The 23,496-nt window shown below is 37.7% G+C and overlaps 1 long non-coding RNA gene across 12 annotated transcripts in view, besides 2 other annotated features; it reads left to right on the forward strand.

Moving 5' to 3' along the window:
* Positions 1-23,496, forward strand: part of LOC105370461 (uncharacterized) — a 433,650-nt gene that overhangs the window by 236,147 nt on the left and 174,007 nt on the right. The window contains exon 5 of one of the 12 annotated variants that reach the window (XR_007064123.1): positions 4,309-22,822. The exons of the other annotated variants lie outside the window; for them this stretch is intronic. This is a non-coding gene — a long non-coding RNA (uncharacterized LOC105370461). Of the gene's footprint in view, positions 1-4,308; positions 22,823-23,496 lie in introns of those variants that run through there. 12 annotated transcript variants of the gene reach the window in all.
* Positions 4,598-5,303: an enhancer, noted in NCBI's record as "OCT4-NANOG-H3K27ac-H3K4me1 hESC enhancer chr14:40142297-40143002 (GRCh37/hg19 assembly coordinates)". NCBI's record gives its function as "activates a minimal SCP1, AML or CMV promoter by ChIP-STARR-seq in primed H9 embryonic stem cells {active_cell/tissue: H9 hESC(primed)}" and the evidence as "EXISTENCE:reporter gene assay evidence [ECO:0000049][PMID:30033119]".
* Positions 5,304-6,009: an enhancer, noted in NCBI's record as "OCT4-NANOG-H3K27ac-H3K4me1 hESC enhancer chr14:40143003-40143708 (GRCh37/hg19 assembly coordinates)". NCBI's record gives its function as "activates a minimal SCP1, AML or CMV promoter by ChIP-STARR-seq in naive and primed H9 embryonic stem cells {active_cell/tissue: H9 hESC(naive and primed)}" and the evidence as "EXISTENCE:reporter gene assay evidence [ECO:0000049][PMID:30033119]".

Below are 23,496 nucleotides of genomic sequence, written 5' to 3' on the forward strand. Positions count from 1 at the left end.
ATGGGAAGGCTTCAATGTTTTTATGTCATGGCATTTGACTTGCTCTAGGATGAGTGATCTAAGAGACAGGAAGAAGGAACCCACAATGTCTTTTGTGATCTAGGCTTGTAAGTCAAACTCTGCCACAACTGAAATATCTTACTAGTTACACAGATCAGCCTTATTCAGTTTGGGAGGAGACTACACACCAGCTTGAATACCAGGAAGTGAGAATCATTGTGGACGATCTTGGATGATAGTTACTCCCACATCAGGGTTCTTCTGGCTTAGGCTCATTTCTCTTATCTTTCTGTGCATTCTCTGTGAACAAGCCCATTCACATCTATAGATTCACATACCACCTTTATGCCTAATTATTTCCAAATATATAAGTAAGCCCAGATTTCTCTTCTGTTCTTCAGATCCCAATGCATAATACTTACATTTTATCCATTCCCCCAACTGGTATCTACTGAGTAGCCACTAGAAACCCAGCCTTAAACTAGTCTAGACAAATAGGACAGGCCTTCAGCCCTCATGGAACTTACAGTTTAGTGAAGCAGGAAGAAAGCAAACATGTAAATAAAGAAAATATTTACAGCTAGTGGTAAGTTTAGTCAAAGAAATATACTGTTGTAATAATGATGGGGGTGGGGCATGTGATAGAAGAGGAGAGAGTTGGCTACTTTAGATGAAGCGGACAAAGAAGGACTCTTTGAATAAGTGATATTTAAGATGAGACCTGAGAGACAAGATTTGAAAGATCGAAAAGAAACCATTCCAGGCACTGAGAACTAGACTTTAAGTGCAAGCCCTTACTATAAGTCCAAACATTCACTAATCATCAGATACCCGGTCTAGACATCTAAGCACAGTATTTCTTTTTCATTATGTATCCTTCAGAATACTAGCTCCCAAAAGTTTCTGTAAAAGACTGATTTAATGGGGCTACTGCATATTCTCCCCCTCTCTAGGAGACTAACAATTATGGTGAACAACTAAATCTGTACAGTGGTGTCAGGGAATCTGTTCCATGGTGTTTACTCAGTGTTTCTAAATAGATTTTACCATAGAACTCTTTTTGTCCCCCTCCGCCCATAAAACATGTATTCCCTCCATTTTGGGAAACTCCATTTCAGGCTGATTTCTCACTCTCCTGATTCTCAAATCCCTTGTGCCTTTATTCCTGGTGCCCTCAGCCATGGTCCAGTAGCATCCATTTCCCTATCCCAGCTTTTCCTTAATCCTACCTGGTTACCATATTCCAATGTATTCTGCTTACTTGCTTTTCCCTGCCACCATTCGTTGTGTCTCATCTTTGTTTATGTCTCTTCTGGCCTCCAGGTTTATTGGTAACATTAAATATTTTCATTTTTATGGTCATTCTCTAATATTTGTTATTTTCTGGGTTATATTAATGTCTCAAAACTCTCTTTCTTTATGCCCCAGGGGAGATATTGTCTATAGAAAATTAGAGATGCTTAGCATTAAATTTAGTTTTAGTTCCTTCTCCATCTCCCAATCAGGCACCCTCTCTACATTAGCCTTACCTGAAAATTTGAGTGCCAGGGAGTTCATCAGCTTAGAGAGAAGCCCCCTTCATTTTTTATAGCTCCAGTTTTTAGGAATTTTTTTTGTTTGTTTTTAAGAGACAGGGTCTTGCTATGTTGCCCAGGTTGGTCTTGAATTCCTGGGCTCAAGGGATTCTCCCACCTCAGCTTCCCAAAATACTGGGATTACAGGTGTGAGCCATAGTGCACAGGCTTCTTTGTTGTATTGAAACCAAACATGCCTATCATTGGTGAACTTACTTTAGTCCTTTTGCGTTAAGTTTTTGTCATGTCTTTCCTATACCTTTTCTTTTTCAGAACAACTCTGTATATGCTATTGTTTTATGACATTTCAATTTTTTTTACTCATTTTAAACTAGTGTATACAATGAGAAAGCTCTTTTATTAGTTAACAGATGTTAGCAAAACTCATCCTCACAACTTAAAACTTCTTTCTGCCAAAAGAGCATTAAATTTGGTTTGGATTGCAACTGGTGATACCACCATCTATATGGCTAGCAGAAATACTTTAGTGTCCTTGCAAGGCAGTGAGTTGAAGGAGCAGGAGGGAAAGATGGCAGAGGCTGGATCAGGAAATAGAAGTCAGCCACTCATTGTAACTCTTGGAAAATTCTGAATTGGGTAAAGCTTGTTTTGACACTCTTACTTGCTCTTTCTAGACTTCTTTTCCCAATGCATGGATTCCCTTCCTGTTTTTTTCCACTTAATGTGCACAGAATATCTTGCTTTTTTCCTCAGTTAAAACTTGCTTTCAGGAAAGATTTGGTTTCAGCTGCTTGTATCTTTGTTGAGAATATAACATACTGTCATTCTCAAGTGTATGTACACTTTAAGCACAGTATTGGTTAGTTACCCATGTCACTACCTATGGGTTGAAAGGCATTGCTCTCTTGTGTGGAAGGAATTTTAAGCTTCAAAAACTATGTGAGAGTGATTTTGGAGGGCTGGAAAAGGGATTTATATTGGTTTTCCTAAAAATATACAAATATTTCAGCTGCCTGTTTTCTTGCATTTAAGTCTTGCCTGCAAATTTCCCTAAATATTCTGTTCCCTAAATAAATTCTGTAATGCATCCTAAGTATTCTCCCAGGCAGTGTTTCTCAAACTTATCAATGAACTTCTGGTATCAAAGGAGAGTGAATGCATAGAGCCCTGGGAACTGAGGGTGTGGCTTTACAGAACAGTGCTCAGAATGAACCTGATTCCTTTGTGAAATTGTTTCCTCTTCTTGCAGACTAAAAATCAATTTAATCCAAAAGATAGATGAAAATGGAGAATTATTGTGAAAGTCTTAACCATATAGGGCAGTAATGAAGGCATAGCATTAATCTAGAGAATAACTAATCCCTTTTGATGAATGGCATGTAAATAAATGCATTCCAAACAGATGTTTTTAGGTATCACATGCCCACCTTTTATTGTTTCGGGGTCACTTCAATACTGAGACATTTTATAAATGAAGCTCTCCTATACAATATAGACTCTCACACAGAGAGAGAGAGTAACTCGAAATTCATCACCGAATTCAACCCAAGAGAATATCCTTCTTAACTTGGGATTCTGTGAATACACAACTTAATATTTCATTTTGATATACAGTCAAGGATCCTGAAAAGAGATGAATATAATTTATACAAAGTCACCTTCATGCAAATGGCAATTTTGGATGAAAGTGGGAACGCCCATTTCCTAATCATAGTTTCTTCATTTTTTCCTGGTAGTCCTTGGAGTTCTGACACAAGATGCTAATGGTAAAAATTAATATTGGGTGATAATAAATATATCCTTGTGATTTGTCACTTCCCTTTTCTGCTTTTTGAGATTTTTATGATTGTGACCACTACAAAACTGTCCCTAAGGTTATTTCAGTCTATATTATCTATGCATGTAGGTTGGTACAGTACTATATAATTTTACTGCACCTTTTCAACTGATGACAATTATTATTTAAGACTTTAACTTTATTAAAGTACATCTTAATATGATTAAGACACCATTGTTGAAGACCTGAGCACTTTCAAACTTTTCAATACGTATATATTAAGAGTCTACGCTGGACAGCATACAGTACCTAAAGACAAAATGCTTAAAATGAAAGTTTAAAAAAAATACAGTTTAAAATTCATGTGATAAAAATGTGTGACTCAAGTGTCCAAAAGAAAACTGCTTATATTTGCAGACTAAAACCTGTGTTATTGCTTCCACTATTTGAATGATGATAATTATTAGCCAACAGTTTAATGAATCAGCAATTAATTAGTGAACACCTGTAATCTGCAAACCTGGGAATCAAGGCTTGGAGAGGTAGTAGGGGTTGTAATCAACATTTAGGAAGCACTGATTATATTTATGTTTTACGTTTTCTGGCTATTTGTTTAAATGATTTGTTTATCTTGATAAGTGACATATTCTTCCCTATTGACTTTGGGGTTGGCCATAAAACTTGCTTTGATGATTGGAAAATGGGGAGGAATGGAAGTATGCCAGTGAGCTGAGGCATTAAGAGGCTTCGTTTGTGTCCATTTGCTCTCTTACTCCAATTCCTCAGCTCAGCACTGGCTATTACTTCAGCCTGGTTTTAAAATAATAAAGCACGTGGAGCCCCAGCTGAGTGCAGGAGCGCAAGAATTATTTGTTCTTGGAAAGTTTTGAGATATTGTGGTTGTTTGATGCAATCAGTATAACCTTAGAAAAATTTTATATGTGTACATTTAAGCTTTATGTCCATTATATAAGATACAGTATTCTCATTTCACAGATGAGGAAATTAAGGAGTCAAAGGGGTTCAGCATTTTTTTCCATAGTCTCATTACTGGGAAGTGGCAGATCTAACCAGAATGTCAAAATATTTACACTGCACCCTGCTTGGCTAGGGTAAGTATGGAACAATGGTAAGACTCCTGCCTGAAAGTCAGGAAACCCATGTTCTAGTCTTAAAGAAATCATCGAGTCTCTTCCTCTAGGAAAGGCATATAGATTGAAGTCTTTGTTGGGGTCATAATTCCCTCTCAAGCCTCCTGTTGTCTCTGATTAGTAGACTGTGCATATAATTGACATTTACTGAGGATTACTTTGAGTAAGATTGTCCATAGTAAATATTAGCTGTTGGACTCTAATTTCTTTCAGAGGTGGTGCTATTATTTTTCAATATAATGGGAATGAAAAGAAAGCATTAATGCTCAATTCTCAAAAGATTTATATAATTTGTGAGTCACAGACTATAAGTAATCAGATGTTCAGAAACACTTAAAGAAGCTCCAGGGATAACGCCAGCTTCTACTCTGGAGTGGGAGTTAATGCACTTCCCCCGCAGAATGAGCTGAGCAGTCAGAGTGCTTATCTGAGTAATTTAGGCAAAACTTGTGGGTTTTAAAAATATGCCTGAATTTTGTGGATAATTACACCAACTCTTATTTCACTGGAGACTTATAGAATGACCCTATAGTCATAGATTAACCATGACAAACTTAAACTTTTAGAAGAATGAATTCATGCATATAAATGAGGATATGGTATAAATGAAGTTTCCTTTGGGACATGATTCACCTTTTCTATCTTCTCCTTTCCACAAGTATTATTTTTCTTTTATGAATCATCATACTCTCACAGCAAGGAAGGCATTACAAAATCACCAGTGTCATCAAATCTTATTCTTGATACCCTACAATCAGGCTGTTTTGTGAGCTTCAATTTCACTTACCATTTTCCCCAAAGAAAAGGAACAGGTTTTCTCCTAAAATCTCTCTATTCTACATGAGAATAGGAAGGCCTATCTAGGTTATCAAGACACTCTTTGTGCCTAAGAATTGCCTCTGAAACAACTGTGGTAGGAATTTTAAGTAGATTATCTCCTTTGAACTTCACAGCGTGTTTAGATGCTATGGCTTGGCCAAATACATAATTTCCCTATGTGGCCAGGGTGCCAGGATTGATACCCACGTTGCCTGACTTCGAAGCCCATGCTCATCCTACTACTCCATGCTTCTAAGGGGTGTTCTAAAGCAAATTGCAATGTTTCCTAGTTAAGTCCATGGCTGAGAGGGATTGTACAATGAGCTGTTTGATGACCTGAGAGCTAAGAAATGGGGATTATTAGGGAAGAATCAAAGGAAGGATAAGAAGTGGACAGGAGGATAAGTGTGATGGGGGGAGACGAGAAAGCCATGTTTTTTTTTTTTTCTTCCTGCACTGTAGTTTTGCCAAGAAAAAGTCCTTACTATAAGATTACTTTTAACAGCAACTTTAAGCTTTATATGTTTATTCACATGGTGACAGTTCTTGTTTATGATTTCAGGTTTATTTTTAAGAGGATACTCATAAAACTTGATATCATGAGGTAGTCTTTAATGTCCCACAGATTTCTTTTTCGGAGTTTCCCCTTTCCTTATACTTGTGACCTCTAATCCTACCTTCCAAGAAAGTTTACCATTCCTGTTGAGCATCTACCATGAAGAAAGTACTCTGACCTTGACCCCCCAGCTTTCTCTCTACATGATTCTCTTCTCCCCACACAGGTCTCTGTAGTCCTGGCCTTTCCATTTTCTGACTTGCCTGCAAAATTTGCCAGTCACAAGTTCCATTTCTTTAGGAACCTAAAGAAATCCATACAAATAGTCTGTGTTAATGGTTAAGTGTTTATTCCGTGTGGATAACATAGTTGTACTTGGCCAGGGGGCCTTCTGAATAAAATGTTTTTAGGTTTCATGAAAATAACTTATGATCTATTAGACTCATAGTATTTTAAAGCTAAAAGCAAACTTAGAAGAAATTCTGGTATAATTTCATCAGTTTTTCAAATGGGAAAATGAGGCCAAAAGGCATTCCTAGAATTTAGTTCTTAAATCACACTTTCAAGATAGTGATATGGCAATTATTCCTTCAATTATTGCTTCAGAAATGGGCCAAAAAAAAAAAAGAAGTACAAAAAGAAATGATTTGATTGAAGTTACACAGAGGATCAAAAGCCCAACTGGAATGGATTCCTTTTACCTACCTTCCTTCTGATTTTGCAAGTGATGTTTAGAATATCCTCAAGATCCTTTTTTTATGAAGATGACACATTTTAGCTACAGACCTCCTTAATTTTGCTTATAAAACTTGTCTGTCTTTTCAAATTCTGTTAAACTGAAATTTTATGGATGTCTGAAACCTGGAAGTAGCAGTGGTTGAGTTGAAGGGTGAGCAGAGTTAGGGAAAACTTCCTCTTAGGGCTTAGTTGCTTTTATTTTAGAAGTCACCCTTCTCTGTTTTGGCATTATACTGGCAATGATGTGATTGAAAAGAAAATTAAGAACCAACTACTGTCAGTGTCAAATTAGTCGCTTTTGTAAATAAGAAAAGCTTTTCAATCAGGAACTTGAAAGGCCATCTGGATTTTATAGTTTGCTCAAACAAAAATAAATACTAAATACTGTAAACCAATCATTTCTAAATTAGCTGTAGTAATAAAATATGCTACTTATAAAAATTACTTTCCTCTGTAGGCCTGGGTTGGTAACAAAACAAAGCAAAACAAAACAAAAAAACAATTACTTTCCATTTTCTAGCCAAATGAGATTACTAAATATATTAGGTGTCTTTGCTTTTTCTATACTGAACAAGAATCTTGAAATCCAAAAGGGTTTATGAGCAATTCATAACTGATAGATAAAGGAATTTGTGTGAGTAGTGATATAAGTTTAGATTGGTTATTTACCATTTATTCTTAACGAAAGTACAGATTTTTATTATTATAAAAATAAATTACTGAGGTTAAATTAGTCCGATTGATTGACTTTTTTTCTTCTTGTCCAATCGCAAATGATAACTCTTACCAGTTTCTATAGGATGAGATTTTGTCTTTTGGCTTAATATGATATTTAATGCCTAATTTCTTACAAAATTCCAGACTAGACATCTGATTATATTTCATGATGTATGGTATAAAAGTTGCAGTTATGTCATATGAGTGTCTTAACAATTGTAGATCTCAAAGCTAAAGATTCACTACTTTAATTGTTTGCTTTTATAAAATAAAAGCAGCTAATATAGGACATTTACTATTTTCCAGGCACTGTGTCGAAAGCATTAAATGCTTTATCTATTTAATTTCCACACAAACCAATAAGGTAAACACAATCATCACTCCCATTTTAAAGATGAGGAAACTGGGATTTGGAGGGTTAAGTAACTTGCCCATGGTCCGCAGTTATCAAGGAGGAACTGGAACGTAAATCTAGGTTTGTCTAACCTTGAAGTCTATGTGCATAGCCATTGTGCCACACTACCTGATGAAGAAGAAAACTGCCGAAGAAACTAGGTGATGACCAATGCATGCAAGCTGGGCAGAGAGGAAATCTGAAGTAGCATCTGATTCTCGCTCTTATTACCAGTCCTAGCTCAAAACAACACCCTTTGCTCTGTTGCAAATATTCTCTTGCAAGGGTTGGATAAACTTAAATTTTAAGAGTGGATAAACTTGTGGTTGGCTGGAAGTAAAATGAAAGACTTTCTCTCATCATTGACATCCAAACATTGAAAAGTTCTGTTGATTCTTTCTTCTAAACTTTTCTGAAATCCTTCTCTCTCATCCTCACTCCCACCGACTTAGTTTAAAAATCCTGTAGGTCTCATCTAGTATCCTCTTAATTTGTCTCTCCATCTGTCCACTCTTCCTATTCATTCTACAATATCTTTCCAGTATTGAGTTAAATTAGCCACAGCTTGTGGATCCACAGGAGAGACAACATGTAAATAAGCTGTTACAAAACAATGCAGTACATCCCTGATCTATTTGGTTCTATGTGAGCATAGAGAGGTCAGAATTTCAAGGGAGGGGCAAGGCAAAAAGTAACATTTAATGGAGGCGCTGTTTACTAATGTTGTAAATAAAAATAGAACCTTCTAATGATAATTTCACTACTCCTAATAGTTATTGAGTTATTCCTGTGTGTCAGTGAAAAGGACTGTTTTGAGTCCTTTTCATACGTGATCTCATTCAGTTCTCACAACCACACTCTGTAGTAAGCACTACTGTTATCCCCTCTTTACATAGGAGGAAACCAAGGCTTAGAGAGTTTAAATGACTGGCCCAAGGTTACATAGCTGAGTAGGGGTGGAGTTAGGATTTTAACTAAGGCAGTCTGAGTTCATTTATTTAGAGGCAAAGAGGAGTTGAGTTTTCGTATGCATTGCATTTGAGGAGTAGACTTGTTCCAAAGGCAGTGGGTATGTGGATCTTAAGTTCAGGAGATGCAGAGTTGGGAGTCAGCAGTCTATAGAAGTTACTTGAAGCTAAGAATGTTCATGCAAATGCCTCCAGGAGAGTGAGAGTTTGAATAGAGGAGATTCAAGGAGAGAAACTTAGATAAAGCTACCACGATCACAATGTAAGGGGAAACCTTAAACATGTCCAGGCACTACCAGGGAGGATCGTTATTTGAAGTATGTGTCACATCTATATTATAGTCAACAGTATTCAAATCCAATGACAACAGGCAGGTGCACTGTGCTTTTCTTCAAAGCTCTTTCCATAAGGTAGCAAATGAGCCATCTTGTAACCTCATCAGAAGAGAGGAGTGGCCTTCCAACCATCAGCTGAGCCTTGGCCCTCCTCTGGCCTATGCTATTCAGCCACCTAAGTATCCAAACAGCATGGCCGGGTTTGCACATAGGAGTTAGAACAGATCACTGGTTGTCCTGAAACCCTGCCTTAGCTCTGTCTTTTCCCAAAGTAGCTTACTTCTTCATTTAAATCTATATCACAGCTACTAGCCTGGTGCCCTCTGTGACTCAGCTTCTGTAACTATCTAGAGTAGAGATCAACAAATGTTTCAGCAAATATTTTGGAGATCAGCAAACATTTTTAGCTTTGTGGACCATACAGTCTCTGTTGCAACTGCTCAATTCTGCTATCTGTTGTAGCATGAAAGAAGTCATAAACAATATGTAAACATAGCTGGGTGCTCCAATAAAACTTTATTTACCAAAACAGGTGATGGGTTGGATTTGGCTCATGGGCTGTGGTTTGATGACCCTTGATGTAGAGTCATGCCACTCTGTTTGGTGTCCTTTCAACAACACTTTCTCAGCTCTGATCCTTTCTTCATTAAACGCTTAGCTCCATACAGTTGAATACGCTTGTACTCATTCCTTATTCCGTTCTTATTCTCCTCTTTCTTGCATATTTTCTAGTATATTCCCTAGTAAAATTTTCTGCTTTGAGAAATATTTTAATAGTTACTGTAAGAGCAACTCCATAGGTAGGCTAAAATGGAAGTGGCAGTTAACTGAACTATGGCATTGTGAAACCTATAGTGTTTTGGTGATCTGATCTATTTCTGTTCTAGTTTCTTAAACACCTCTCCACCAAATTCAAAATCATTTATTACAAGTGATCTTGTTCAGTAGTGGAGTTGCGCTTAATAACGTAACACATTAGGTTTTATTTGTAAAGTCAGGGATGATTTTGATTCCCATGCAGCAAACCCTTTTTGTGTGTTTTGCTTCTTTGGGAATTTGGTAATTTTGTGAAATATAGAAGGGTGCCTAGCGTTTCTTAGATGGAATCCCTATGGAAGGACACACATGGTGATTGTGAGATTACCCTGAGAATTGGGGAAATTCAGCTTACCACTGAACATTTAAATAGAAAATGAAAGCATCCATTGCATTTCAGGAGAATTGAAAATTGGAAAATAAGTACTAAAACAGTTTGCTTCTTAGTAAAGCAAGATTTAGAAAATATTGGAAATCTGCTAAAACATCATTTTCTTCCACAGTCCTTATCTTTAGGGGTTCTTGCTATTGATTATGAAGTATATTTGAATATTTTTTTAAATTGCAAAATCCTTATTTATATACATTGATCTTTATACCAAGAGGGCTGATAGAGTAAGCTTGATTTTCTAATCTTCCTGATCTTAATTGAGTTGTTTATATAGCATTTCAAGTCTGCTATCAATTAAGTAGCCATTCTGTGATGTGTGAGTTGAGGAGTGAAATACAGTGATTTTTGTGTCAACTCCGTTTGTGACAAGAAATCAATGCATGAACAGCAGAGCCAGGAAAACACTGAAATCCTTTTATGGTTTTACATTAATTTCTATGGCAGGTAGGGTAGACATGTGCTGCTTGATCCCTCTTCAGAACAGGTCTTGCTGCCCAGCTGTGGGGAGTGCAGTTAGTGCACAGCCTGAAGCTGTCAGCTCCTTTAGGGTCGGTCTCAGCTGAGGTCATGCCATTCCAGACAGCTCACAACTGATATTGGTGTGAGATGAGGGGCTATAAAGACCAGGCCATTTCACCCTGAAGTAGGATATTCTGTTAGACAACACTTGTGCCAAAGTGCTCTGTCAGCTTTATGGGGCTAGAATTGCAATTTAACTTCCCCTTCTGCCCAATTTTGCTTCAGCTCCTTCATTTACAGGAGTTTATCCACTCACAAACATATTGCATTCAAAACTCCATCTCAGCATCTGCTTCCAGAGAATGTGGGTTGCAGTAGCAGGTGAGTGGTCAGCAACCCTCTGGCGTCCTCATGCAAGGGATAGATCTATCAAGAAGACTTACACTTTGTAGTGTTTGGCCCTTAGTGGTGATGGGTTATCCCAAGTTATTCACATTGTCTCAATGGGTCCTCCAAGAGAAATGACTTGAAGCATAAAACAGAGCTGGATAATCTAGAGGCATATTCTGCTAAGCAGGTAGGAGAAACTGCTAGAAACCTTAATGGTTTGCCACCTTGCTAAAAAAAATTATTTAGTCTTTTTGGCATCTGAGGTCTTAGTGGAAAACTTGTTTCTTCCATTTTTCCTGAATGCTTTTTTATGTGTACGCTCTTTTTCATTCCTCCAATTCTTCCTTGTTTATTCAGTGTCCCAGTTGCCACAACTTCTGTGGGCTCAGTTATCAGGCCTGGCTGAGGCTTCTGTGGATCAAAATGGGCATAAGAGTGTGCTACAGAAAAGAAGAGGAGAGGAAGCCAGCATTGGGCCAGGGGCCAGGAGAGCTCAGCCAGTGTGGCCCTGAGGAAGGGAACAATGGTCCCAATTATAGGCTCCAAGGAGTTTGGGTGGATTGGAGTCATTCTGGTTTCTGTTGAGATGTGGAAGGAGGCTGTTGTTTACCAAGAACCTGCATGCCTTCGGCCCTCTACATGTCAGCTCATTTAAGTTTCAAACAAACGCACAAGGTAGATATTTTAGAGTTGAGGAAATTTTTAAATTTTTTATTTTATTTAAATTGATAAAATTCTATGTGCTTATTGTGTACAAATGATATTTTGGAATATATGTACACATTGTGGAATGGCTAATCAAGCTAATTAACAGGTGTGTTACCTCATGAGTTGAGGAAATTGAAGCATAGAGAGATTTAAGTGACTTGTCCAAGTTCATTTAATGGCTCTGAATGTGCAGAGATGGTGGTGAGGAGTTAGTGCTGTAGTAGGTATTACTAGTTTTCTAACAAATACCCATTTTCCCTTCTGCTTTAGTAAGAGAACCCCAAATTTTAGCCACATTTGTTGTGGCCTTGAATAATAACTTTCCAGTGCAACTAGGTATAGCCATATGACCAGATTCTTACCTATGAGACGTAAATGGAAGTGTTGTGTGAGATTGCTCTGAAGTCTCTTAAAGAAAAAACGGAGGTGATGAGATTTTTCTTGTTTCTTTCATCTTGCTGTCTGGAGTGCAGATATAATAGCTGGAGCTCTAGCAGCCACCGGGACTATGTTACATTAAATTAAATTTGATCTACAGTAGCCTCTGTACCTAGTATTCTGCAACTTAACTTATTTTGTACACAAACTGCAACCTCACTTTATTATAGTCTTGCAACAAATAGCTGAGTCTCAACTAATCCCAGTAGTTGAGCTTCAGCCAATCAGGGCTGCCAACTGATCAGATCATGCCCATATAAGACAAATACCTCAACCAGCATGCTTAAATAAGGCAGCTGCAACCAATCAAGTGGTTTCTGTATCACTTCCTTTTTCTGTTTATAAATACTACCTGTCCCCATTGCTGGGTGGAGCTCTCTGAACCTCTCCTGGTTCTCACTGCTACCCAGTTCTAACCAGTAGTTCAGAGATCTTCATCCAATATGGGCAGGCAATATTTATGGACAGAAAAAGGAAATGACATATAGAAATACTTTGATTATAGCTCAGTATTTGTCTTATATGAACAAATATAAGGCTGATCAGTTGGCAGCCTGTGACCGGCTGAGACTCAGCTATCTGTTGCAGAATATACTCTTAAGTGAGGTTGCATTTTGTTTACATAGTAAGTTAGGTTGCAGTTCACTACATAGACAGCTTTAGGCCAAATTTCATTTAATAAACTAAAAATGGATCTCCATTATACATAAATATGGATATAATGTAGTTATTTTTGAATAACACCATTAAACTCCCCATGCCCCTTCTAACAGCAGTACCTAGGAAGTAGTTCAGGACCTTTCTGTTTAATCACTTTACTCCCAATATTGTGTGACACATACAAGCATGCTTTTAAGTGTCACCCCTTTGATAGACAAGTATTAATAACATTCAGAGTTGCTGTCTGGAATCAAATTTTCAGTCACAAATTTTCCTGTATCCTCATCACAAATGGTAGCTTCTGCCCAGTTGCATTTTAAAAGGAAACTCACCCTTTCGCACATCTTTCAGGAAAAATGAGAGGCTTAGTCTCTGACTGAGAAGATTTTAACTCAATTAAGGTGAGTGATTTGATCTTTAACCCATGGCAGTTTTGTTCTGAGGATACCTCACAACCAAAATGAGCACTGCAGTAGAGCAAATAGAGATCAGAACTAGGGTATCATTGGAATGAATGTTTGCATCTGACTCTGATTACAATAAGCAACGTGGCCTAGCTGGGGAATGCTGTATTTTCACAATTGACAGACCAAGCAGCCTGCAGCAATCAGCAAAGGGCGGCTTATTTTGAGCAAAAACATCCATCACACTGTGATGAGAAAAGCAGAGCTGCAATCAGTGGCAGGTTCTTCCAAGAGCTGTTGATGAAAAATGGACTTTACATGTATCAAGCTGAGAAAGAACTGCCGCTCATTTTTTAGCCTCATTTGCATGCATGAACAACAACATTGGAAACATTTTTGAACATGAAAGAGAGTGAGACAATAGTTCCATCATGAGTAGAACTTTTCTGTCCTCAATCATAAAATAGCACACCCAATCTGTGACAGGAATATATTAGGTTTCAAAAGGCAAGATAATAAGCAATTTCAAAGAAGGTTCTAACATTCACTCCGAAAGTCTTAGGCAGATGTATTATTTTCATTGGTATTATGATAAAAAAATTCCATTGATGTAACCAATAGAATGGAAATCTTTGATAATATGTTCAGTCTTATCTATATTAACTCTATTTCACATGACTAAAAAATTAGAACTCTTTAGCTCTTGAATCCTTCCAACTGCATGATGTATCATGAAAGCTCTGTAGGTTCAAAGTTTGTGATTTGAAGTGAAAGAAAAGTTGTTCGAGTAGGAATCTTTAGCTTTCTTCTTTTGACAGCATGTCCTGCTGTCGTTATGAGATTTTTGGTTTTGATATGTGCTAGGATATTTGGAAGTTTTGCCTAACGTGTCAGAAAGAAGCTAAAGATACAGAATGATCTTCATTTTTAAGCATTAAATTTCTCTCTCCTTAAGGCCCACTAACTATGCATAGAGGCATTTAGAACTGGGGCCTGATCTTGCCTTACAGGCTGCTCTGTTTGATTTTGTCCTGCCTCCTGCAGGGAAGCTGTGGGAGGAAAGTGAGATAATATATTGGTTTAAGTTTATGGCATCCAAAGTCTATTCAAAAGCATGGGCTTTCTCTCCTGTTTCTCATTTCCCATTGGGTAGTTTCTGAATTAGTTCTCGCCTTTTGTATTTGATTAATTTGCTCTATTTAAGTCCATGAGGATTGATTGTTTCTCTATATGAGTTTGCTGAAATGTAAAATAAGCAATCTGCCTGTTTCTTCAAACAAGAGGAAAATTAATACTGTGACCTAAAAGGATATTAATTAAAAAAAGAATAATACGCATATCAATCAAAGATAAGGTCTCAGATGCCTCAGGCCTGATAGACTATCACTTTCTCCTTTTCTTTCTTGTGTAGTTGTTAAGGATTTCACATATGGACTCTGGAGCTCATGTTCTAAAGGTGAGGTTACTTTCCTGTCCTTGCTGTTTATATCTTACATAGAATTAGAAAGATGCCATGCAAAAAGCTATTGGCCACTCACTCATGGCTATGCATGCATTGTATCCAACTGCTCCTTCAATTTGTAGCAACCAAGTCAGGAGTGCTGTGGTCAGCTATTGGCTAAACTGTAAGCCGTGTCAGAGCAAATTTCAGAGGAAGTCTGTGAATGGTTGCTGATATGCTATCCACAGAGTAGGACTGTCTAGAAAAAATCCTGCTATTTATTATTTTCATATTGAATTAGCTCCCCAATATCTCCTTAGGCTGACCACCAGCACTGTTGCCCTGATTACAAAAACCAACAGTTTTTGGAGCAGGGGGCATGGTAGGCATGCCAACCCGAGCAGTTAAAATGTTAAATGCCTGACTTCATAATGTGTGGGTGGATGTTTGTGCTAAGTGTTAAAAAATATATCTTGCCACAGGGAGAAAATGGTGATTTGAATACTCTTTTCAGAGCTCCCTGAGTTTCCTTGCTGTGGTTGAATAGGAAGTTGTGGAGCATTTTCCCATCAGTGAAATGCCTCTGTATCCTTTTGGGGTGGTAGTAGAAAGCCTATAGGACTCATGATCCCTGATGTCTTCTTTCAGTTCTCTACATGGCATATTACATGATAGCATGAGAAAAATATGCCAGCAATTCAAGCAGAAAGAATTCTAGAAGGCTCACTTCTCAGTCTTTATTCTCTGATGTGTATTGAATGACAATAGCAGTAAAACCTCAAGCTGTTCATTTGGATCGGGCAGCCGTTGTGCACTTGGATATGACTATTCTTTTTATCAAATCTCCTGTTATTTGCATTTATATGATGCCTTTCTTCTAAAGCTCTTAAAGCAATTTCAGCTTCACAATACTTGTGTGAATTGAATAAGAAGAAACATACTTCATTTTGAGGTTGAGATAAAAGATAAATTGTCAATGACTCTCCTCAACAGAACAGAACAGAGCGCAGTGGGTACTCAAACAATTTTTCCACACTGATTTCCCTGGAAACCTCAAAGAAAAGGTTATTTTAAAAAGGAGTTCTGATCCTGGGTCTAGACATCCTGGGGGCAAGGGTCCATTGACAGGCTTCAGGGCTTCTGTGAACTCCCTGAGAGATGTACAAAATGAAGTTCTCCTGCACATTTTCCTGGGCTGAGGGTTTGCATTGCTGTATTTACCAGATTCTAACATGGCTTAAGGACCATTGTCTGGAACCATGCTCCTTAAATATCTAGTATATTCAAATCAATTGAGATGTTTGTCAAAAATTCCAGGGCACATATCCAGAAATTCCAAGTTAATAAGTTTGGGGTGGGGTCTTGGGACCTGAATTTTGACACCAAGTGATTCCAATTCTGGTGAACCAAGAGACTCATTTAGAGAAACATTGGTCTAGCCCCTTGAAGGTGGCTTAGTAAGAAAGTCACTTACTGGCATCTTTGGAAATTATTGTTTCAGACTGGGGAAGAGAAGCTAAAGTGCAAGACCAGAGAGAGGGTGCAGAAGCTGTAGTGGCAGAGAACGCCATATATTTCGTCATGTGTCCTAAAACCAGAATTGTATTTCAAGAGAAGTTAGGCTATCGGTCTGTGAAAGTGAAAGATTGAAAGTGGAAAATAAAACAGCTTAGATGAGAATGATTTAAAATGTACAGGGGAAAGTGTTAGTAGACACAATACTATTTTTAGGTCTTTCTTATCTGTTTTATATTGCCCTTATATCAGAAAAACAGCTGCTGGCAGGAAACAAATGCTCAATCAATTCATCAAATATCAGGGAGCTGGAAATTCAGATCCTGCCATTAACCAGAACATAAGAAATAACATTAGGTGAAGAGGAGCATTTTACTGTATTGCTGGGAGAACTGAGTTAGCTGGACCAAGGTCTGTTCTAAAGCAGCAAAGTATTTTAGGATTTTCTGTCTTTACAAGCCCATGGAAGAATAGCATAAGTAGAGGGATTTTATTCCATTGAAGGGGGCACTTGTGTTTTTTTCCCAAAAAGGTAGTATGTTTGACAAGAAGTTCTGTGAAACTGTTATTTTAAATACAGTCATTCCTGAACTAGGAGACCATCCGGATTCAGTATAAGTGGATGGGTTGACCAATGCAGGAATACATTTGATCCCATCCCCCATCAGTTCTCCATGCTTTCCTTCAGGAAATATTCTCGACAAGGCCTGACAAAATCCTCTTGTTACTCTGTCATCATTCATGTTGCCAAATATACTTTGATGTGTGTGGCACCAGACCACACTTAAGGAAAATTGCTTCATGAACTTTTATTTAAAACTATAATAATGTTAGCTCGGTGCCTTCTTTGCTTGTTACTTTGTCATTTAGTTTGGTTGTAAGAATATGATGCGGGTGGTAAGTCAATTGCTCTAAAACCTCACAGCAGTGTGTAAAGTACTATATTCATAAAGTACCTTTTGGGAAGTACATAGTGTCTTTTTGAAGAGATTTGTTTTAAATTTAACAGAGCCTTTTTCTGTAAATGTATTGACACACATTTAGAGCACACAATGCTGGAGCCTTGCAAGATCTTTAGAGAATATGTGTGCATGGCTGATGAAATGCCACGATTTGTTTGGAAAAAGCTTTTAGGAAACTAAATTGTATTAAAAGAGAAGTGAGCTTTTTAAATGTGGGTATAATGTACCCTAATGTAAAGTTGTAGCACTTGATCCTGAAGAAAGATTTCGAGGAAAGCAAAGGGGGGTCGTGGCCGAAGGGATCTCTGTCCTTCAGGTTGGCCTGAGCCAACTGAAAGCGGTCTTCCTGCTGTCCTTCCTTGGCCAGGTTCTTTTGTGATCCCACTCTCCCTTCTCACCACCTTCACTTCCCTCCTCCAAAACACACTCGGAGTCCCATTCATTGTTGAACGCCCAGCACTGTAAAACTGGCACACACTCATGCTAAATAGATATTTGTTAAGTGAATTGATGAGTGCTTAAAAATCTCCATGGATTTTCTATCAGTCTTTGGATAAAAGTTACAATCTTTACAATGACCTACAAAGCCGAGGCTGATCGTGTCCCTGTGACTGCACTGACTTCATCTCCTAATGTTCTCCACGTCCCTCACACTGTTCCAGCTACACTGGCTTCCTTGCAGTTCCTCACATAAGCCAGGGCTAATGCCACCTGAGGGCCTTGTCATTTGCTATTCCCTCTGCCTGGAATGCGTTCTCCAGATACCTACATGGCTTCTTTCTCAACCTCCTGAAGTCTTCTCAATGAAGTCTTCCTACGCCTCATTCCTTATGTCAGGTATCTATTTATTGTTGTGTAATAAACCACCCCAAAATTTAGTGGCTTAAACAGGAATGATTTGTTATTTGCGACAATTTTGCAGGTGAGTGGGTGTTCCTTCCCTATCTGGGGGAGTCTACATTCAGCGGAGAGCTCCACTGATACATCTTGATTTTCCTCCACATGGTCTCTCTCCGTGGTGGCTCATCCTCCAGGGCCTCTCTACGTGGCTCTCCTTCCAGTAGAATAGCCAGGCCTTGCTTAAGTCATACAGGCTGACTTCCAAGTGACAGCCTTCCAAGAAGAAGACAGGCCCCCAGGGGAAGGGCTTACCCAGCCTCTGCTTGTATCACACTTGCTAATGTCCTGTTGTTTAACTCCAGTCACATAGCCATGGCCAGAGCCAATGTGGCAGGAGATTACACAAGTATATGAACACCGGGAGGTGTGGTTAATTGGAGACTACCAACCCAATAGTCTACTCCCGTCTGCCCTTTAGCCCCAAGTGATTCACTTCTCTCCCACCTGCAAATTACACTCACAACCTTCAAAGTCACATCCCATTAAGTCCTGTGGTTTACACTTGAGTTCCAGGATCTTCCAGGTTAGATCAGGGCCAGATTTGGCTGAAGCAAGTGGGTGCCATTCCCCAGGTGCTGCTCCTTAGTTGTCATTCTTCAGGTTTAAAGACCTATAAACTGGGTCAGCAAGATCGTTCTTTGCCTCTCAACTTCTACTGTAGAAATGCAGCATATTCCTTTCCAGTGGCCAATAGGATTTATTCTGCTTAGCTATTTCTCTCCTTATGCAATTTAAATATTTTCTTTTTTGCTGTACCCTCAGAAAAGACATAGAAAATCTCATTGTTATGCTATAAGTTCATCATTTTTATAATTACCAATTTTATCTTAAGTTGATCACTTTTATGATTACCAATTTAATCTGTTTCCTCCCAATGTTTTAGTTATCTATTACTATATTTTAAAAAGCACCCCAAAATTGAATGGCTTGAAACAACAGTGCCTTATTATTTCTCTCAATTTTCTGGGTTTACTGGGTTTCTATTCTTTTTATGTGGTGTGGTGCCAGTGGGGTCTCTGCTGTATTTGCATGCAGGTGGGAGCTCAGTGGTGCACCTTCGTTCTTCTTCCTATTGTCATCCTCCCCACCTTGGTCTTGTGATCCAGGGCCTGTCCATGTGAACTTGTATCTCCAGAAGGATAGTCTGGACTTTCTTACAATGCGGCAGCTAGGTTCTCAGACAGTAATAAAGAAGCGGCCAGGTCTCGTAAGGGCCAGGCCTGGAGCTGATACCTCCACCTGTTCTATTAGTCAGAGCAGGTCAGAAGGCCAGCCTGGATTCAAGGAGAGAGAAAATAGACCCTATCTCTTAAGCGGAGAGATGGAATATTGGTGGCCATCTTTAGGGACTATCTACCACATTCCTTCTTTCCTGTTCATTTTCTCCTAACTTCTAATCACTCTGTATTTATCTTATTATTTATTTTCAACACTGAATGTATGCTCAGTAAAGTCAGGGATTTTTTCTTTCTTTTTTCTTTTTTTTTTGAGATGGAGTCTCACTCAGCCACCCAGGCTGGAGTGCAGTGGTGCCATCTCGGCTCACTGCAACCACCGTCACCCGGATTCAAGCACCCAGGTTCAAGCGATTCTCCTGTCTCAGCCTCCTGTGTAGCTGGGATTAGAGGCACCCGCCATCATGCCTGGCTAATTTTTGTATTTTAGTAGAGACGGGGTTTCACCATGTTGGCCAGGCTGGTCTTGAACTCCTGACCTCAGGTGATCCACTTTTTTATTCATTTTATTTAATGCTGTATATTCTACAGAATACTGCTTGCCACATAATGGATGCTCACAGAGTTTTTGAATGAATATTTAGCATGCTACCTGCTGGGATACATCTCCTGGTTTCTTTACCTGGGCATTTATCATCTACATGTTCTCTCATGGCTGATTTGAATGCAGAATGTTAATATATATTTACATATTTGACTTTTGCCATGTCTTAGCCCACTTTCTCTGTTTGTATCTTTGAACGTTAACTCTGACATTGTTGGATTCTTCACCTAGTGTGAGTCTTCTGATAGAGAATGACAGTGCAGAACTTGATGCCAACTTGGCTGGCTGGCCCCATGCCCACTTAAGACTACTTCCTCGATATCCACTGATCTTCCCATAGCGTCAGTATACCGAGAAAGTGATGCTTTCTCTTTTGTTTTGGGGAAATACATATATGAGACATGGAGAGAAAAATAGGCATAAAAGACAGAATATATTAGAGTTAACCTCATGATAAAGTATAGAATATCCCACAATGTGGGGTTCTGAAGAACTCTAAGGGCAGACACCCATTTCATTTTGAGTATATTTGTCAGATGAAAAAGACAAATTTCATTTGACCATATTTGTCATATGAAAGAAATTTAAAATTTTCAAATAATTTTAGGATATTCACAAATTAATGGCTGATGTAAAACTGTTTTATTATTTTTTTCACTAATCCATTCCAGTGTAATTTCGTCTTACTCCTTTTCTTTTTGTGTCTTTCCTCCAAGTTACTAAAATTTTTTTATTGAAAATGAACAGTTGTTACCTTTAAATCTCATCTCTCCAGTGATGCTTGATTTGGGAGTATATGATTGTTTTAACTGATTTCATTTGGCCTAAAGCTTCCCAGTAAAATCTTTGGAGGAGGGAATTGCTTGTTGCTTTTACAGGATATTGTTAGAGGTAGAATTAGCCATATGATATGCTGATATCATAAAACCACGGATTCTAGAAAACACACATACAGATCAGTCTAATTTTTTAAACAGTCACATCTCATGTTGTAAATGAAAGACAGTAGGGTGACATACGAAAATCATATTAATGGATGGTTTCATCTAATGTCTGTAGCCAGAAATTGCAAAGGAATTCAGTGACTGCTACATGATTAGCTGTGTAGAATGAAAATAACTATTATTTGCTCATATGATTTCTGTTTAAGCAAGTGAAATACCACAGCTGGGGGATAATTGCTGGCAGGCTTTGCTGGGTGAACTTTAAATAAATAGAAAGAGAAAGGTAAAAACATTTAAAGGGAAATATTTAAATAATGCTTTCAAAGCAAATGCTGAGAAAGAAGGTATAAGCGTCCTGAAACATATCATGAGACCTTTATGAATTATTAAAGACCAAACCATAATGTTATCTTTTCTGTTAAAGATAATGCTAGTATAAATTGGGAGCATTTATAAACTTCTGTAGGATGGCAGACACAGAATATATATCATAAAGTTGATTGCTTTTCTGAAATAAAATTAGTGGATACAGACAATTCCATAAATAATAGTATTTAATGACAATTTCTTTTTTAAATAAGTTTATATCTCTGCAAATTTATTCCTAGAAAGATAATTTAAAATCTTGCTTACAAGCTGAAGTAGGAAGAATCACTAGGTACCCTCCATCAGGGCAATTTCAAATATTGTTCTTTTCCACCCACCAAGCCTGATTTAAGGCATTTAATCATGGGCTAAGAAGGCTGGATTTTTTTATTGTATTTTTAACTCTCCAATTTTGGATGTTGAAAACTAACATCCCAAAGAGGGGTTTGATCAAAATGAGAATTATAAAACAAGGAAGGATATTTGATTCATGTTATCTAATAATGCAAGTTTACACAATTTTAAGGCCCTTTCTGTATGTGAAACGAGAACCTCCTCTCTTATTTTCCTAGTGGTGAGAATGGCCCTCTGAAATGCCACCATTCTTTTAGCCTAGACACACTTCATCCCTAGTGACAAAAACCTACTGATGTTTGAGACTCAGATATGTGTCCTTCCTGGGCACAGTTATAATTCTAACTTTTTTTTTGTTATGAGAAAGAATGATCCCAGATTTGGGAAAATGAGAAGAGGGAACGTTGCTTAGAAAGCACATGCTGTGAGGACATGGTTATACCAGGCACAGGGAATTCGGGGGGAAATGGAGTCATCATCCACAATCACTTGTTAATGTTCAACTATATACATATGGCACTCTTGAGGCACCGAGAGAGAGGGGGAAATACCTGCCTCTCTCCTACCCCCAATTGAAACAGTGAAATAACCAGAGATGGGTTATAACATTTTTCAGAGAAAGGTAGACTTAAATGGATTTGTAAAAATAAAATTCTTTGTTGGCAACAATAAAGGAAGCTGTATTTATTTTAGGGCTGATTCATTTTTGTCACAGAACTATTAACTTATTGTAAAGATTTATTTTCTAACTATCAGTAGATTGAATTCTTGTCATCAGCAATTTGTAAAATATAGAAAACATAAAGAAGGAAATAAAAATCATCTTTGTCTTTTTTAACTTTTAAGTTCAAGGGTACATATGCAGGATGTGCAGGCTTGTTACGTAGGTAAATGTGTGTCATGGGGGTTAGCTGTACAGATTATTTCATCACCCAGGTACGAAGCCTAGTATCCGTTAGTTATTTTTCCTGATCCTCTCCCTCCTCCAAACCTCTGTCCTCAGGTAGGCCCCAGTGTGCGTTGTTCCCCTCTATGTGTCCATCTGTTCTCATCATAAAAATCAACTTTAAACCCTAAATTTAGAGATAATAGCCATTAAAATTTTAGCCCATTTACTGCCAATATTTTTGAATATATATATACACAAATATATATACTTTGCACAGTTAAGATTATACTGTTTATGTATTTCTACATCGTGAAATGTTTTTATCTGCTTTATATTATTGATTTTTTTACATCTTTACTTACTTTCTATAAATACCATTTATAAAGGCTGAATAAATATTTCATCGTAAGTGTTAACTTAGCACTCCCTTATTATTGGATATTATATTCATTTAAAAATGTTATAATAAAATTTGTTGTGCATAAATATTTAGAAGTAGAAATACTAGTCAAAAAGATTACCTATTTTCAAAATTGTTTTTGAAATATCTATTGTCAAATTGCTTTCTGTGAGGATTATGCCAATGTATGTTAACCAATACTAATGAGATTAATCTCATCACATCATTGCCAAAGATGAAGAGCATCATTAAGTGCTGAAAAGTCTTGTGTTTTTTATTGAACATTGTTGTCTATCAGTCACTTACATTTCTGTTTTGTGAATTGTTTATTCCTATTCCCTTTTTGTCTATTTGTTTATGAAGACTTTAATGTTTTTCATATCAGGGATAGTAATTTTTAAAGGTAAAGTATTAGCTTATGTATTAAATTTAGTTTTAGAGAGCAGCTTCTAGGAATACATCTAGTCTGTTAGCCAAATAGTTCAGCCTTTATCATCTTTACAAATATTAGGATGAAAAAATGCAGGTTGCAATGATCTTGTCATTCTGCTTATCAAAGGGCTTTAATGGTGGTGGCTATGATCCCAGCACTTTGGGAGGCTGAGGTGGGTGGATCACTTGTGGCCAGGAGTTCCAGACCAGCCTGGCCAACATGGAGAAACACCATCTCTACTAAAAATACTAAAAATT

The sequence above is a fragment of the Homo sapiens genome, chromosome 14 (genome assembly GCF_000001405.40).
Source record: "Homo sapiens chromosome 14, GRCh38.p14 Primary Assembly".
Lineage (NCBI taxonomy): Eukaryota > Metazoa > Chordata > Mammalia > Primates > Hominidae > Homo > Homo sapiens.